This window comes from Homo sapiens, chromosome 9, assembly GCF_000001405.40.
Source record: "Homo sapiens chromosome 9, GRCh38.p14 Primary Assembly".
Lineage (NCBI taxonomy): Eukaryota > Metazoa > Chordata > Mammalia > Primates > Hominidae > Homo > Homo sapiens.
Window position 1 is genome coordinate 34,310,625 of NC_000009.12, and position 18,651 is coordinate 34,329,275.

The window sequence follows — 18,651 nt, forward strand, 5'->3', positions numbered from 1 at the left end:
ATAAATAAGGAGTAGATGCTGTCTGCTGGACATGAAGGAGAGGCCTGCCCTTGCCTGAGGCTACTTTCCCTCAAAAGAAAGAAAGATAAAATTTATTACCTGATACAAGAATGAGGGATTCCATAGTTATACCCTGAAACATGAGAGATTCTTTGAATAATGGGAATATCACAATCCCCCAGTATTGCAGAAAGGTAATTTGGTGAAAAGAGTGAAGTGCTGATTTCTGTTTGCACATAGGAATCACCAGCTGTGGCATTCAGAATTCCTGTTTTTGTATGGTACTGGGAATCATCTGGTAGCATGTGTTCTAGCACTTTTAGGTAAGTGGACTTCTGTTCATTTGCAGAGAAATCTGATAAACTGCACATTTCAAACCCATCATTGCTGGCATTTCTGTCTTTATTGTCAGCAGGAGAATCAAAATTCAGCTGTCTGCGAGGGCCAGATCTTAATTCCTGAGATTTGATGCGCAGGCTGCTTGTCTGAAGATGACGCTCTGGGATACTGACTGCTTTATCTTCTTCTTGCATAATCTTAATAATTTTGATAAGTTGGAAGAGACGTTTGCGGTCGTTCATGTCATGGACTCCTAATTTGGAGTAGTCCTTCATTGTAATCTTGGCTAATTCATCTATTTTCTGAAGGCCAAGGGCAGTGAAATGAGAATAATACTGTGCAAGTTCAGCTTCACAAAGACATTCATATAACCAGGATGCCATTTTGGTGAATAGGTTTCTATAAACTCTGAAGAGAGAAAGAAAAGCCATTCGCTTGAAATAGAGTACATGTAATACAATTATTTATTTTAAAAATTGAAAACCACAAAACCACAAAACAAACATGCAAAAAATGTTTTATCTGTCAAGTTCTCAATAACATATTTTTCTTCTGAAATTATTGATTAAATAGCATAGTGCATGAACAAAGATGCTTTGTATTGCATATGAAGAATTTGTGGTAACATATAATTTGTTAATTTGCTTAATAAAAAGAGACATTCCATTTTACATATGTGTATATATACGTGTATATACATATATACGTGTATATGTATATATATACGTATATATGTACATATATACGTATATATGTATATACACGTATATATATACATATATACGTATATATGTGTATATATACATATATATACACATATATATACACACACATATATATATACACATAGATACACAAATGAACACATACATAACACATAACTTACTTATTTCTAGGGAGTTCCTTCCAACCTTGCAATGTCTACTTAACACATGCCACAACTATTGAAACCTTGTTCCCAACAACTGATTGTAGCAGGACTAATTTTAGATGCTCAACTTAATGTCAAGGCATGCTGCACAACTGTTTCCCATGAATAATGAACAGGGGCTAAGAACTCTTTCAGAATGAAAAGCAGAATTAAATGGCATACCACAGAGGATTATAAACTAATGTAACTCAAAGGAAGATAGCATTTGCATTTGCTGAGTACTGGCAAAAGTTAGTTAAATAGAAGTAAAGACATCATCAATTCAGCATCAGCCAATTCAGGATTTCAGATCATTCCAAAAGGTGGTCATCGATCTCTACCTGTACAGAATATGAATCAAATAATTTGCCCAGGAAATTAATACTAAGGTCAAGATTTTAAATAGTTGTATCTTTTAAAAAATTTTAATATCAAGATATTTAATTAAATACTAACAAATAATGTGGTAATAACACATAATCCTGGTCTATTATTAAAAGTCAGGATCCTGAGCTCTCTATATCACTGTTAATCAAGTTCATGAGAATATCCAAAAGTAAATACAGTACATTTTCTTTTTTAAAATGGTTTCATAATTCAGAGTTTTCAAAAATTCAGTTAGGTAACTAGTGGTACAACTTTCCTGTTTTCGTTTTAATTTCTATTTCATCTTCTTTCTAGCAGAAACAGAGAAAGAGGTGAGGGCAAGGTAATAAAGATAACCAAAGAACGTTGAATAATTAGCTTTGGGGGAAATACTACTTAGGCTAAAAGGCTAAATGGGCTGAGTAACACATCCTAAACTAATCCTGGCCTTCTATTTGTGGTAGATTTGTTTTTTTTGAGATGGAGTTTCACTCTGTTGCCCAGGCTGGAGTGCAGTGGTGGTATCTTGGCTCACTGCAACTTCCGCCTCCAGGTTCAAGCAATTCTCCTGTCTCAGCCTCCTGAGTAGCTAGGATTCACAGGTGCGTGCCACCACACCCGGCTAATTTTTGTATTTTTAGTAGAGAAGGAGTTTCGCCATGTTGGCCAGGCTGGTCTCGAACTCCTGACCTCAGGTGATCCACCCACCTCAGCCTCGCAAAGTGCTGGGATTACAGGCGTGAGCCACCACACTGGCTGGTAGATTTGTTTTGTGAAGGCAGATTTGTTTTTTAAAGACCAAAAATTTTTTGCAGGTCCTTCCATGAAGAAGTGAAGTCTATTTCTTCCCTCATTTCATCTAGGCTAGCCTTGTGACTTGTTTTGCCCAATACAATATGGTAGGAGTAATGCTATGCGACTTCCATGCCTAGGCCTCAAGGGCCCAGCCAACAGCCATCACCAAAGCCAGACATGTGAAAGAAGTCATCTTAGACTATCCAGGCCCAGTGGCACCACTAGATGACTGCAACCACATGAGTGACCCCAGGTGAGATCAGGAAAAAACAACCCAAATATCTGGGCAAAGCCCAGCCCAAATATCTGACTCACAGAACTCTGAGCAAATAAAATGATAATTGTTTTAAGCCACTAAGTTTTGAGGGTAATTTGCTACACAGCAGTAGATAACTGCAATATCTCTCTTTAAATAATAATAATTTTTTAAAACAAGTTTTTTAGAAATTATTATTATTATTATTATTATTATTTTTAGAGATAGGGTCTTTGGACTCAAACTTGTAGGCACAAGTGATCCTCTCATCTCAGCCTCCCAAGTAACTGGGACTATAGGTGTGAGCCACCATGCCCAGATTAAAATTATTTTTTATTAAACTCTATTTTCTAGAGCAATTTTAGGTTCACAGCAAAAATAAGTGAAAGGTATAAAAACTTCCCATATATCCCCTGCCTCTCACATGTATAGCTTCCCCCGTTATCTGTTTTTTTTTTTTTGTTTTTTTTTTTTTGAGGGATGGTCTTGCTCTGTTGCCCAGGCTGGAGTGCAGTGGTGTGATCATGGTTCACTGCAGCCTCAACCTGCTGGGCTCAAGTGATCCTCCCACCTCAGCCTCCCAACTAGCTGGGACTACAGGTGCGCACCACCACATGTGGCTAATTTTTACATTTTTTTTTTTTTGTAGAGAAAGGGTCTCCCTGTGTTGCCCGGGCTAGTCTCAAACCCCTGGGGCTCAAGTGACCCTCCTGCCTCAGCCTCCCAAAGCGGTGGGATTACAGGTATAAGCCACCGAGCCAAGCCTAAATATGCTTCTGCGTACCACATTCCATTTTACAATGTTGAGCCTCTCCTCTTTCTTCTGAGATAAACATCAGAATCACTCTAGACACTTGGGTTTTTTTGTTGTTGTTGTTTATTGTTTGTTTTTTGAGACAGTCTCGCTCTGTTGCTCAGGCTGGAGTGCAGTGGTGCAATCTTGGCTCACTGCAACCTCCGCCTCCCGAGTTCAAGCAATTCCCATGCCTCAGCCTCCCAAATAGCTGGGAGTACAGGCGCGCGCCACCACGCCCGGCTAATTTTTTTGTATGTTTAGTAGAGAGGAGGTTTCACCATGTTGGCCAGGTTGGTCTCGAACTCCTGACCTCGAGTGATCCACCCACCTCAGACTCCCAAAGCGCTGGGGTTACAGGCATGAGCCACCATGCCCAGCCCAGTTTAGACACTTTAAAATATATAGATACCTGAGCCCCATCCCAGATCTATAGAAAACCAAAAAACAACAAGAAATAACTCCCAGGTTTTAGGAAAGGCAGACATAACAACTTCAGAAAAGTTCCCTAGGTGATTATGATTGCATGCCACTGATTTATATCTATCAAAATTACAAATGCAAATGCACTGATCCAGCAATTCTACCTCTAGGAACCTATCCTTATCCTTCAGATAATACGTACAAGTACAAAATGACGTTAACTATAATGTTATTCATTACAGCACAGCTTGTAATAGCAAAGTCATGGAATAGAGACTGGTGAAATAAATTATGATAGTCCATTTAATGAAATAATGCTATGAGACAATTACAAAGAGTAAGTAAACTGTAAAATGTTATTTAAAAAAGAAAGCTGTCCAATATATTGTTAATAAAGCAAGGTACAGAACAGTTTGTAAAAGAGAGAGATAAATGATCTATAATAAATCTATATCTTTGCTTATCAGACAAAAAACGTCACTTGCAGGATGCACAATAATAGTGGTCTTGAGGAGGTGAGGGGAAGTAGGTGGTAGAGGGTGATTATGGGAAGGAAACTACTGTATACTTTTAAATGCTGGTAGTTATTATTACCTTTCCTATTGTCATTTCTATGTCACTGGTGTCTCTATCACCCAGGGCAAGACCTAAAACAGTTTATTTTTTAAATTTTGAAACTATGTGACTGTATTATTTATTTTAAACATATATTTCTAAATAAAAAATTATATATATTTCTAATTTCACCTCCCTTCCTCCCTCTCAGCCTCCCCAAATTGACCTGATACAATTGTTTCTTAAGATCTTGGTGTCTTTCTAGCCTTTTAAAAAATTGTATATAACACTGTACTCATAACTATATTGCAATCTATGTTTTAATTTAACATAAACATTTTCATATGCTATATGTTACAGCCATAAAAACAATCCATACTATTATAAATATTTGACTAGATTAATACCTCAGGGAAATGTGACTTCTCTCTAAACTCCTGCAGAGTTTTGATGATAAAACTGATACGGCATTTATGACATACATACTCATTTTTAAAAAAAATTATTGCCAGTCTTGTTCCAGAGATAATGTAAGATGGTTCTGCCTTGTACTACTGTGTGAATTATTAAAGACAAAAGCAGTATGATCCCACTCAGTCAAGCATTGTGCTAGATAGGTGTGCAACAAATATTTTAAGTGAATAGTATCTGCTTAGATTCTGTTCATTTAAAATATTTAGAAATGGGCCTGGCACAGTGGCTCATGCCTGTAATCCCAGCACTTTGGGAGGCCAAGGCCAGGGGATCACTTGAGGTCAGGAGTTTGAGAACAGTCTGGCCAACATGGCAAAACCCTGTCTCTACTAAAAACGCAAAAAGTAGTCAGGCATGGTGGTGTGCGCCTGTAATCCCAGCTACTCAGGAGGCTGAGGTAGGAGAATCACTTGAACCCAGGAGGCAGAGGGTGCAGTGAGCTGAGATTGTGCCATTGCACTCCAACCTGGGTGACAGAGCAAGACTCTGTCACCCCCCCAAAAAAAAAAATTTTTTTAGAAATGTTCCATTATCGGCCGGGCGTGGGGGCTCATGCCTATAATCCCAGCACTTTGGCAGGCCAAGGTGGGTGGATCACGAGGTCAGGAGATCGAGACCATCCTGGCCAACATGGTGAAACCGTCTCTACTAAAAATACAAAAATTAGCTGGGTGTGGTGGCAAGTGCCTGTAATCCCAGCTACTCAGGAGGCTGAGTTTCACCTGAACCTGGGAGGTGGAGGGTGCAGTAAGCCGAGATCGTGTCACTGCACTCCAGTCTGGCAATAGAGCGAGACTCTATTAAAAAAAAAAAAAAGTTCCATTATGTCTACTGTTTTGCCCAAGGCAACGAAGTGATTAAAAGATTCCATGACACCTGCTTATGTGGCCATAGAGCCATTTTCTCTGAGTTTCCTAATTCTTTACGAGTCCCATCACCCAAAGTAATGGCAACATCCTCAGGGCCCTTACGACTTTAAGAAGCCAAATATCCACAATGTTACCAACTTCACTCTGAACACTTCATATGGTTTAAAAAAGCATTTTATATAAAAGGCTAATTCCATTATGTCAGCAGATAGTCCACATCCATACTACTTTGATGATCTGATTAAACTAAAATGTATTGAGTTCTGTTTTATGCCAAGCACTATGTTAGATGCTTTATATAAAAAATGTTATTTATTGTTAAGTCAGAATTCTGTTTTTAAAAACTCTGTTGAAGCAAACTCCTAAAGTAAAAATAGTGCTTACTGGCTGGGCGCGGTGGCTCATGCCTGTAATCCCAGCACTTTGGGAGGCTGAGGCGAGTGGATCACAAGGTCAGGAGTTCGAGACCAGCCTGGCCAGCCTGGTGAAACCCCCCGTCTCTATTAAAAATACAAAAATTGGCCGGGCGGCTGAGCACGGTGGCTCACGCTTGTAATCCCAGCACTTTGGGAGGCTGAGGCGGGTGGATCATCTGAGGTCAGGAGTTCAAGACCAGCCTGGCCAAAATAGTGAAACGCCGTCTCTGCTAAAAATACAAAACAATTAGCTGGGCGTGGTTGGCAGACACCCATAATCCCAGCTACTCGGGAGGCTGAGGCAGGAGAATCACTTGTACCGGGAAAGTGGAGGTTGCGGTGAGCTGAGATCGCGCCATTGCACTCCAGTCTGGGCAACAAGAGTGAAACTCTGTCTCAAAAAAAAAAAAGAAAAAAAAATTGGCCAGGCATGGTGGCACGCGCCTGTAATCCCAGCTACTCTGGAGGCTGAGGTAGGAGAATCACTTGACCGTGGGAGGCGGACATTGCAGTGAGCCAAGATCACGCCACTGCACTCCAGCCTGGGCGACAGAAGGAGACTGTCTTAAAAAAAAAAAAAAGTGCTTATTTACTGGTTGTTGTTTTTAGATTGACAATTTCAATGTAAGTTACAGTAGTACCTGTCCTCCAATTTAGCTTTCTGCCATTTCAGTTACCCTTAGACAACCAGTCCAAAAATATTAAGTGAAAAATTCCAGAAAGGAACAATTTGTAAGATTTAAATTGTGCACCATTCTGAGTAGCACGATTAAAATCTCTCACAATACTGGCTCCCCTTTCCTGGAATGTCAATCATCCCACTGTCCAGCCTATCCACACTGCATAAACTACCCACTCATTAGTCACTTAGTAGCCATTTTGGTTACCAGATCAACTGTGGGGTATTGCAATGCTTGTGTTCATGTAACCTTATTTTACTTAAATAACGGCCCCAAAGCAAAAGAGTAGTAATGTTGGCAATTCAGATATGCCAAAGAGAAGCCATAGTGCTTCCTTTAAGTGAAAGAATGAAAGTTCTAGACTTAGGAAAATGCATAACCTATAATAGGGGTTGGTACTATCCATGGTTTCAGGCATCCACCGGGGGTCTTGGAATATATCCTCCTTGAATAAGGGGGCATACTACCATACCCTTAAAATCTTAATTTTTTTTAATTCAAATTGTATTATTGGATTTATTTTTCAGTAGTTAGGGGAGCATGGGAGCAAAGGATTGCTTTAAGAATCCTTTCCTCAACATGTAGAAGCCTGATTAGAAAATTAGGGAGGAGAACAAACAAGTCTAAAGCTGGTGGTTTAACAAGATAAATACATGAATAATGCAGCCTGGGCAACATAGTGAGACCCCGCCCCTAAAAAAAAGACATGAATAATGAACATATAGGTAACCCTCAGCTATAAGTTGTAAAAGTTACATAGAAATAGGCTATAGAAGAGTAGAATCGTGTCGCGGCTCGAGAGCGAGACTCCCGTCTTGGAGCCAGCCCAGCCCAACCCAGCCCAACCCAGCTTGACCTAGCCCTGACAGGTCCATCGTGGTGCACGCAAACCACCTCCCAGCCACGCGCTCCCTCCTGCTCCTCAGCGCCTTCTGCCTCCTGGCGGTGGCCTTGGCGACCGAGGTGAAGAAACCTGCAGCCACAGCAGCTCCTGGCACCGCAGAGAAGCTGAGCCCCAAGGCAGCCACGCTGGCCGAACACAGCGCCGGCCTGGCCTTCAGCCTGTACCAGGCCATGGCCAAGGACCAGGCGGTGGAGAACATCCTGGTGTCGCCCGTGGTGGTGGCCTCGTCGTTGGGGCTCGTGTCGCTGGGCGGCAAGGCGACCACGGCGTCGGAGGCCAAGGCAGTGCTGAGTGCCAAGCAGCTGAGCGACGAGGAGGTGCACGCCGGCGTGGGCGAGCCGCTGCGTTCACTCAGCAACTCCACCGCGCGCAACGTGACCTGGAAGCTGTGCAGTCGCCTGTAGGGACCCAGCTCAGTGAGTTTCGCTGATGACTTCGTGCGCAGCAGCAAGCAGCACTACAACTGCGAGCACTCCAAGATCAATTTCCATGACAAGCGCAGTGCGCTGCAGTCCATCCACGAGTGGGCCGTGCAGACCACCGACGGCAAGCTGCCCAAGGTCACCAAGGACATGGAGTGCATGGATGGCGCCCTGCTTGTCAACACCATGTTCTTCAAGCCACACTGGAATGAGAAATTCCACCACAAGATGGTGGAAAACCGTGGCTTCATGGTGACTCGGTTCTATACCGTGGGTGTCATGGTGATGCACCAGACAGGCCTCTACAACTACTATGACAATGAGAAGGAAAAGCTGCAAATCGTGGAGATGCCCCTGGCCCACAAGCTCTCCAGCCTCATCATCCTCATGCCCCACCACGTGGAGCCCCTCGAGGCCTTAAAAAGCTGGTAACCAAAGAGCAGCTGAAGATCTGGATGGGGAAGAAGCAGAAGCCTGTCGCCATCTCCTTGCCCAAGCGGGTGGTGGAAGTTCCCATGACCTGCAGAAACTCCTGGCTAGGCTTGGCCTGACTGAGGCCATTGACAAGAACAAGGCAAACTTGTCACGCATGCCACACAAGAAGGACCTGTACCTGACCAGCGTGTTCCACGCCACCGCCTTTGAGTTGGACACAGACGGCAACTCCTTTGACCAGGACATCTATGGGAGCAAGGAGCTGCGCAGCCCCAAGCTGTTCTACTCCGACCACCCCTTCATCTTCCTGGTGTGGGACACCCAGAGCGGCTCCCTGCTGTTCACTGGGCACCTGGTCCGGCCTAAGGTTGACAAGATGCAAGACGAGTTTTAGGGCCTCAGGGTGCACACAGGATGGCAGGAGGCAGCCAAAGGCTTCTGAGACACATGGGTGCTACTGGGATTCGGGGGAGGTGAGGTACCAGCTTGGATACTCCATGGGTGGGGGTGGACAAACAAACCAGGGTTCCCGTGTGCTTGAACGGCCCTTCCCAGCTAGAATTTACTCCACTTGGACGTGGGCCCCAGATACCATGATGCTGAGCCCAGAAACTCCACATCCTGTGGTACCTGGGCCATAATCATCCTGCCTGCCCTCAAAGTCCCAGATCAAGCCTGCCTCAATCAGTGTTCATATTTATAGCCAAGTACCTTCTCACCTGTGAGACCAAATGGAGCTAGGGGGGTCAGCCAGCCCTCTTCTCCTGACACTAAACCACCTCAGCCACCTCCCCAGCTCTATCCCAGTCTCTCCCAACTACAAAACTAGGTGCTGCAGCCCCTGGGACCAGGCATCCCCAGAATGACCTGGCCCCATTGAGGCAGATCGAGAAAGAGCTCACAGGACAGGCTTCTGGGCAGACTCTGGTCAAGAATGGCGTCATGGGGATGAACTTTTTGTTTCTTTTTTAGTTCTTCAAAGATGGGGAGGGAAGGGGGAACATAAGCCTTTGTTACTATCAAACCAAGAACTTATTTATACAGTTTTTCTTTTCAATAAAATGTTCCAACAAAAAAAAAAAAAAAAGAAAAAGAAAAGAAATAGGCTATAACCAGCCAGGCAGGGTGGCTCGTGCCTGTAATCCCAGCACTTTGGGAAGCAGAGGCAAGCGGATCACCTGAGATCAGGGGTTCGAGACCAGCCTGGCCAACATGGCGAAACCCCATCTCTACTAAAAATACAAAAATTAGCTGGGCATGGTGGCGGGCACCTGTAATCCCAGCTACTCGGGAGGCCGAGGCAGGAGAATCTCTTGAACCCAGGAGGCGGAGGTTGCAGTGAGCCAAGATTGCACCACTGCACTTCAGCCTGGGTGACAAGAATCAAACTCCTTCTCAAAAAAAAAAAAAAAAAAAAAAAGGAAAAAAAGAAAAAGGCTATAACCTACAAATAGCTACAGATCTCCCTTGGGAAGGAGGGGAGAGGGGAGGACCTAAACTAATTTTTCTCTTTCCACAAATTTAAGTATGTTTGAATTCAGGTTGCCAAAATGTTACTGAAATGACCTTTATTTTACCTGTACCCCAGGATTTTTGCTCTAGATCTCTTTAGACAGGCTTACCAGGATAATGACCCTTCTCCATGTACTTAGCTATATCTGCATTGTTCAAATGTGTGCTTTTATTTTTATTCACTGTTTTCTTTGTAGTTACGTATTTTATTGTAAGACCTCCCTCCATCCTTCTTAGAAATAGATTAACATAATTATTGACATGTCACTAGATTCAGAAGGTAACTAACACTAAAGCACTGGTATAACACATCAGAGACATCCAATAAACATAGGCCCTTAAACTACCACTGCCACCAAACACATTCTTATTCTGTAGGGAGGGAGATGGAATTGAACAGGGAGCAAAATACCTACATGGTTTATTTTTTCTATTTCAAGATGTTAAATAAGATTTTTATTTCAAATATCTGTCAGTAGACTACCAAAGTGTTTGCGCAGTAGTAACTAGTATAGCAGATTACTAGATTAGGAGGCAAAAAAAAACCGAGGACTCAGTCAGTCTCTGCTAAGAACCAGGTGTGATACATGGTCAAATTATTTAACATCTATGAGTCTCTGCTTCTTCAAGTTTAAAATTGAAATAATGTATACAGGCATTGACAGTAAAATTAGATATGTTAAAGTACTCTCTACAAGTGTACTGATTACGCATTTGCAGGAGACAGGTTCTGTAACGCACCCACTAAGTGTCTGGAACAAAACAGGCACAGTGATCTACCGATAGCATTAAAAAAAAAAAAAAAGCTATACATACATACATACTTCTTCTTTTTTTTTTTTTTTTTTTTAGAGAAAGCGTCTCACTCTGTCGCCCAGGCTGGAGTACAGTGGTGCAATCACGGCTCACTGTAGTCACAAACTCCTGGGCTCAACCAATCCTCCTGCTTCAGTCTCCCAAGTAGCTGGGACTACAGGTGCATGCCACCAAACCTGACTAATTTTTTTATTTTTTGTAGAGATGAGGTCTCCCTATGTTGCCCAGGCTGGTCTGGAACTCCTGGGCTCAAGCGATCCTCTTGCCTCAGCCCCCAAAGTGTTGGGATTACAGGCATGAGCCACTGTGCCTGTCCTACATTATATTTTTGTAAGATTTTTTTAAAAGGAGTCCTACAGCTAGCCAGGTCAACAGAGATAATCTAATCTGTAGCTGATCTAGCCTATAATATTTGGTCCATGAAGGATTATCTTCATATTTTGCAGTCTGGCTTGCAAAGTGTTTAAATTTTTTTTTAATTTGTTGTACTGTTTAAAAAATTAGGAGCAATTAAAAATACCCAGTTCCTGCTTTTCCTGAAAATTAAAAGATGTAGTTATATCGGGCCTGCAATTAGATAAGGAAGTAGTAGACCAAAACAGAGTAGTGGCTGTCCCCTTTAGAAGGGCATATACTCTTCTAATACACCCCATGGTCCTGCCTGCTCCTAGTCCCTTTATAGCAACCAACTTTATTCATTTACATTAAGAAACCCAGTACCCAGTGGTAGTCACTCCCAATTTCCCCCCAACCCATCTAGCCCTAGACAAACACTAATAATGATCACTTTTTTTTTTAAGAGATGAGGTCTCAATGTTGCCCAGGCTGGTCTCAAACTCCTGAGTTCAAGTAATCCTCCTGCCTTGGCCTCCTAAAGTGCTAGGACAGGCATGAGCCACTGCACCCAGCCTAATAATAATCACTTTTAAAGAAGTTGCTAACAAAGTCACTGGGCCCGCTGGACTATTAGAAACTGATACAAGGCCAGGCACTGTGGCTCATGCCTATAATCACAGCACTTGGGGAGGCCAAGGTGGTTGGATCCCTTAAGCCCAGGAGTTTGAGACCAGCCTGGACGACATGGTGAAACTCCATCTCTACAAAAAATATAAAAATTGGCTGGGTGTGGTGATGTATGCCTTTAGTCACAGCTACTTGGGAGGCTGATATTGCGGGGTACTGCTTGAGCCTGGGAGGCGGAGGTTGCAGTGAGCCAAGATTGCGCCACTGCACTCCAGCCTGGGCAACAGAGTGAGACTCCGTCTCCAAAAAACAAATTAAAGAAACTGATACAAAAGAAAATCAGCATTTTCAATCAATTTTATTATTAAAACATTTCTGTACCCCATATTAGGCATAAGGTCACCAAGAACACAATAAATTCAGTATTATCAGTGAGAGATTAAAGGGTGAAAAATGTAGTATACACTTTTCCCCCTACAAGGGAACTTATTTCAAACTCTAGGGATTCTTCTATCTATAGACTACTGATCTCAACAGAAGACAGATGATACTAGACAACTGCTTAAAACAGCTGCTGCAAAGGAATTAGAATATATGATACTTAATAGAATTCTTAAGGCAAGATGTGGATTTGGGGATATAAATCATGTAAATTATATCCATTTTTAAAAAGTAGTTTTCAAGAAATTGTTTCTGTTTTTAACAGAAAAAAAATAGTTTCAAGTTTGTTTATGGTTAAGTAGCTAATGCTCTACAATTACTACAATTCCCCTCAAGAGCCCCACAAAGAGTTTACTACGTTTTTACATTTGGTGAAAAGCATGAGCAATCACCTAAAAATAAACATAACAAAATTTTAGAACCTAGTTATCTTAAACCAGTGCCAAGTATTACTTTCTCTAAATATAGACATTTAATTCTGAAAGACTTCTCAGTAACAGGTGGTAACCAATGTTGGGTTTAAATTCAGTGCTTTATTTTTAAAATCTTGCTCTGACAGACTGCAGGACGTTGTCATTTGCAGATTTTGCCACACTGCAGTCATAAAATACTTTCAACAGAATATATTTCACATGTTCAATCAGAAAAATAACTGTTACAATCAGTTTTCATAAATTACCAAGATGACATTCTTTCAGTCCCTTTGGGAACTGTTGCCACCATGGGACCAGGAATTATTTCCAAAGGAGTGACATCGAGAAAGCAAAGAACGACTAAAACAATAATTTCTTTCACTGTAATCAAAATTATTAACATGTAATTAATTGTGCTACCTGAATAATCTTCCAAGACTTTTTGTGATAGATGGCAATTAGTATCATCTCCCTTTTTACAAATAAAGAAACTGAGGCACAGATAATTTAATTTATTCAAAACCATGACATAAATTTGTTTTAGAAAGTGATCAGATAGCCATATATTGGCTACATAATTCTACACCACTAGTTTTAACTAATCAAATCTCACATAAGCAAGTGGCTAATTTAAAAGACTGTAATAGACACAGTACCACCCCTCATTGCTGGTGAAATCTCAACTAGTCTCTTTAGTCTGGACGTTGTGCAATATTATTAAGTGGGTTACTTCCAGAATCCCAATGTAACTTTAGTTCACCTCGTAGTAACACAGACAATCTCATGGCTATGTGTTGCAGCAAAAACAGCAGGAATCACTATAAAAATGTCTCCACAGTCGAGCATCTGAACTTGTCAATAACAGAATTCATTATACCTCCTGACAAAATCTGCCCCTCCACTTCTCTCTTCTTTGGAAGGGGGGTGAAAATACCATTCATGCAGTCACTCAGAACTAAACGAGAAAGCATCCTAGAGGCCTTCTTCTCCCTTAATCCCAAAACTAATCAATAGATCCAGCCAATTTAATCTCCCACATACTTGCCAAATTTCTCCTCTCCTATCCTTATTTCTACCACCACTGCTCTGGTGATTCAGCCCCATATCTTCCACCTATTCATTACACGTCTCATACCTGTTCTCCTGGCCTCCAGTTATGCCCCTCCTCAAACCATCTTCCAGACTGTAGAGCCAGATCACTCTTTTGAAAGCAGTTATAACAATGCTGCTCCCTTATTAAAAACCCTTCAATGGTATCTTATCATCTACACATAGTACAAAGTCCAAACTCCTAAGCATGACCCACAAATCCTTCTGTAATCTAGCCCCTTCCTCACTCTACAGTTTAGTCAACTTCTTAGACCGTTTTATTTCTCTGTGCATTCATTCACATTGTGCTCTTAAGTGGCCTCCTCCACTATCATCAAACTTCCCTTTACCTGTCTACCTCTTACTGATTATAACAACAAATGAGGTCTTTTCTGGTCTCCCCCAATGTGATCAGATGTCCCTTCCGTGTCTGCATCATACCTTTTGCATATCTCTATTATTACAGTTAATTATATTAATAATTATTATATGATAATTATTTGATTATGTCTATTTCCCCTAATAGAGTATAATTTCTTTGTGGTCAAGGAATGTGTCTTGCCCAGGCAGAGTGGCTCACACCTGTAATCCCAGCACTTTGGGAGGCTGAGGCAGAAAGATCACTTGAGCCCAGGAGTTTAAGACCAGCCTGGGCAACATATGGAGAACCCATCTCTATAAATAAGTAAATAAATAAAAATTAATTGGGCATGGTGGCACACACCTGTGGTCCCAGCTACTTGGGAGGCTGAGATGGGAGGATCACTTGAGCCCAGGAGGTTGAGGCTGCAGTGAACCATGATGACACCACTGCACTCCAGCCTGGGCAGTAGGGTGAGACTTCGTCTCAAAAAAAAAAAAAAAGCAATATGTCTTATTAGTCTTTTTATACCCAGGTTCTAAAACAGTGCCTGGGGCCAGGCACGGTGGCTCATGCCTGTAATCCCAGAACTTTGGGAGGCTGAGGTGGGTGGATCACTTGAGGCCAAAAGTTCGAGACCAGCCTGGTCAACATGGTGAAACCCCATCTCCACAAAAAATACAGAAATTAGCTGGGAATGTTGGCACACACTTTGTAATCCCAGCTACTCAGGAGGCTGACATGAGAATCGCTGGAACCTGGGAGGAAGAGGTTGCAGTGAGCCAAGATTGCGCCACTGCACTCCAGCCTGGGCAACAGAGTAAGACTATCTCAGAAAAAAATATAAATAAATAAATAAAAGAGTGATTGGAAATAATATTCAATAATTGTTTAATGAATAAATATCCCTACAGTATATTAAAACTCTATAAAAGCATTTGATATCGTTTGTGGTAACGGGTGGTAGAAACTATTTATCAGGGTAATTTGATTACTCAGGAAAATTGTGACAGAGATGCTGGTGCCCTGAGTCACTGCTCCTGGACACCAAAATTATGCAAGTTTGTATTACTCAAATGAATTGATATGGACACAGATATGGTTACAGTTCCAAGAGGAAACTTTATCCAATCTTCAAGAAATATTTTTTGAGAGACTTGTATGAGATAGGCCCTGTTTTATGCACCAGGAATATAAGTGAACAAAACAGACAAGGTCAGCCAGGCACAGTGGCTCATGCCTGTTATCCCAACACTTTAGGAGGCTGAGGGAGGATTGCTTGAGCCCAGGAGTTTGAGATGAGCCTGGACAACATAGTGAGGCCTTGTCTCTACAAATAAACAAAATTAGCTGGGCATGGTGGTACATGCCTGTGGTCCCAGCTACTTGGGGGGCTGAGGTGGGAGGATTGCTTGGGCCTGGGAGTCAGAGGCTACAGTGAGCCATGATCACACCACTGCAGTTCAGTGTGGGCAACAGGGCGACAGAGTAAGAGCCTGTCTCAAGAAAACCCCCCAAAAAACAGATAAGGTCCCTGCCCTCATGACACTATTATTTTAATGGGAAGAGATAATTAATAATCAATAAGCGGTAGTTTTAGATGATGATAATCACTACCGAAGAATAAAGCCCAGTGCAGGGCTTACTTTACATTGGATGATCAGAGAAGGCTTCATTCAGAAGGGAATATTTGAGGTGAAACCTGAAATAACATGGAGTCACTTATGTAAAAATCAGGAGGAAGAGGGTTCCACGTGAGCACATTAGCCCAAAGGTGGAAATGAGCATGGCAAAATCAAGCCATCAAACACGGACAGGTTGGCTGGCATAGTAGGTGAGAAGGAGAATAGTATGAGAAGAGGAGAGAAAGGTAGGGGCCAGATTATGTAGGGTGTACTGGGCCACATAAAAGTGTCTGAATTTTACTTTTAAGTGAAGTAGGAAGTCATTAGAGGATCTTAAGTGGAGAAAGTATATGCTATGATTCGTCTTCAAAGTTCACTCTCCCAGTTCTGTGAGGAAATGGATCACAGCAGGTGGGCAAAAGTGGAAACAGGGAGATCATTTAGGAAGCTACTGCACTGAACTGACAAAAAAAAATGCTGACTTGGAAAAAATGTTTCCTTTCATGAGGGTTAATTAGAATAATGTAAATTAACTGCTACATTCAGTGTCTGATATATAAACACTCAACAATATATTATACTATTATTATTAGTTTATACCTACAGAAAACTCTTCTTATTCAACACGATATGAACATCAAAACCCTTGAGACAGTAACTTGGGAGGTATACAATGACCATACACTCAAGGTTTAAGAAGTAGAACTCTATTATTTATTTAACAAAATGTGTTGAGGATCTACACTGTGCAAATTATAAACTGGTTTGCTGAGCCAGCATAGGGAAACTGGATTAATATATCAGGCATCATAGAATACTAGATCTGGAAGGGATCTAGAAGAGTTCAGCCCCTCACTTTACGACAAAAGAGCAGCCCAGAGAAAGAAACTGTGGTTCTCCCTAAACTAAAAACTGAGAGGCTCATACCTTAGGTTGCCCCAAGGACACACTCTGAATAACTAAAGATTTTCATTAACAATATAAAACCACAAATTTTAAATAAAATGCTATCTTAGCAGTAATGTGCTACACTAAGAAAAATGTAATATGCATATAAAGCCCTGGATACAGTGCTTTGTACGGGGTGAACACTCAATAAATGGTAACTACTACTTTCAGCAGCTAAAAAAAAAGTCTGTATGGTCTTTGGAAGGCTGAGAGTGTGTGGTCTACCTGACATCAACTACTTGACTTGAGAGTAGAGCCACAGGAATTTTAATCTAATTCAATTCTTTGATTTTCCAGATGGAAAAAATGAGGTCTAAAGGGGCTAGATTCAGGCGTTCAAGGCTGCGGTGAGCTATTATCATGCTAGTGCACTACAGCCTGGGTGACAGAGCAAGACATTTTCTCTAATAAAAAAAAAATAATAATAATAATAAAGGGACTAAATGACTTGCAAAGCCACCCACAGTGAATTAGAGACAGAGACAGAGCCAAAGCCAAACCCACATGTAGTGGGTTTCCACTACATGTCACAGCTATAAGGTAGTGTTTCAAACTTTTATAAAAGGGTAACAAGAACATAGCTGCTGTACTGAACTTTTTCACTCCTTTTATTAAGGCCACCAGTGAGCTATGAATTTGATATAAGGAGCAATCACACCAACAATCAGGCTGTGAATATATAATCCATGAGTTAACAACGAAACAGTCTTAGGAACGCAATTCTATCATAGACACCTGATGAATAGATGGAGTTCACCTGAGCAGCTGTTATATGCACTTCAATAGAGAGACTACAAAGCCTCTCTACTTGTAGAATACAAGTACAAAGAAGATGCTTTAAAACATTTTCCAAAGCACACTTAAAATGTGACAATAGCTGCCGGTCACTAAGAAGCTAAAGGGAGATAAATTATCTTGGCATACAGCAACAGAATGGTTTATTTTAAGCAAAGACTAAAAGGAGTCTAATAAAATTATTGGGAGACCAAGGCTAAAAGCCACAGATGCAGGAAGAGTTGCAGCAACCAATCCAAAAAAGTTTAGCCTTTCACAAAGAGTAGAAAGGCCAGCTGTGGACTGTGTGTGGACTTTTAGGTCCTTTTGCATTGAAGATTAGGGTGGCCTCCCCCTAGCCTCGAAATAAAAAATCGTCTCTGAAGCAGAGAGACAACAAGGCAGGGCATGAAGAGGAATCCAATCTATTTCTTGTAAATTAAATTCAACTCAACAAATATTTCCTGAAAATCTACTATGTGCAAGACATTGTGAACGATGCTTGCCTTACCTCAAAGGCTTCAAAATTTTATGGGAAAAGGGAAGCGAACGGGCTTCCCGGAAGTAAACAACCCAAGGGCGAATAGAAATGCCCTAAAAGAGGTGCCGGTCAGGCTTATCGGTTCAAAAGCAAGAAGGCTTTGGGACTCAAGAGTTTAGTCTCCCAAAGTGAGAGAAGTGGCGTTCAAGATAATTGCTGAAGAAAAGGCAGAGATATGGGGATGAAAGATAGGAAAGTAGGTGAACTTTAGGAAGAGCCAAGAGGGGCCAACTCTCGGTTCCCTCACAACTGCCAGTTTCCTCCCGCGCTCAGCCGACGTCACGCGCACCCGTGTCCGCGGGCAGGCGCCACGGTTCCGGACCAGACCTACCCCTCCTCTATTCTCCCCGCCCTTTCTCACCTCGGTCCAAACTCCTCGGTCTGCCCTGTCTGAGAAGAGGAGAAGACAATGCCGTCGGGAGTGAGCCCCAAAGCCCGCAACCTAACAGTCCCGTCAACCCGGGAGCCACCGGCGGCGGCCAGGCCGCATCTCCATGGCAACGCCGCCAAGCGCCAGTTCGAACGCCCGCG

At 42.0% G+C, this 18,651-nt stretch overlaps 1 protein-coding gene and 1 pseudogene across 7 annotated transcripts in view, besides 3 other annotated features; one reads left to right on the top strand and one right to left on the bottom strand.

Moving 5' to 3' along the window:
* KIF24 (kinesin family member 24) overlaps positions 1–18,651 on the bottom strand; it is an 81,292-nt gene that overhangs the window by 58,245 nt on the left and 4,396 nt on the right. For 3 of the 7 annotated variants that reach the window (XM_047423343.1, XM_047423340.1, NM_194313.4), the window contains exons 1-2: positions 18,482–18,644; positions 100–747 (exon numbers count right to left, since the gene is read on the bottom strand). In XM_047423343.1, coding sequence (XP_047279299.1) covers positions 100–722 — 623 coding nt within the window. In that variant the 5' untranslated portion in view covers positions 723–747; positions 18,482–18,644. Of the gene's footprint in view, positions 1–99; positions 748–1,225; positions 1,283–8,815; positions 9,000–18,481; positions 18,645–18,651 lie in introns of those variants that run through there. The other 4 variants (XM_047423342.1, XM_011517861.3, XM_017014697.3 and 1 more) reach the window with 3 other exon arrangements.
* Positions 7,650–9,707, top strand: SERPINH1P1 (serpin family H member 1 pseudogene 1; annotated as a pseudogene).
* Positions 8,001–8,666: an enhancer, noted in NCBI's record as "H3K27ac-H3K4me1 hESC enhancer chr9:34318623-34319288 (GRCh37/hg19 assembly coordinates)". NCBI's record gives its function as "activates a minimal SCP1, AML or CMV promoter by ChIP-STARR-seq in naive H9 embryonic stem cells {active_cell/tissue: H9 hESC(naive)}" and the evidence as "EXISTENCE:reporter gene assay evidence [ECO:0000049][PMID:30033119]".
* Positions 18,311–18,370: an enhancer, noted in NCBI's record as "active region_28307". NCBI's record gives its function as "activates an Ori minimal core promoter by ATAC-STARR-seq in GM12878 lymphoblastoid cells {active_cell/tissue: GM12878}" and the evidence as "EXISTENCE:reporter gene assay evidence [ECO:0000049][PMID:35858748]".
* Positions 18,471–18,570: an enhancer, noted in NCBI's record as "active region_28308". NCBI's record gives its function as "activates an Ori minimal core promoter by ATAC-STARR-seq in GM12878 lymphoblastoid cells {active_cell/tissue: GM12878}" and the evidence as "EXISTENCE:reporter gene assay evidence [ECO:0000049][PMID:35858748]".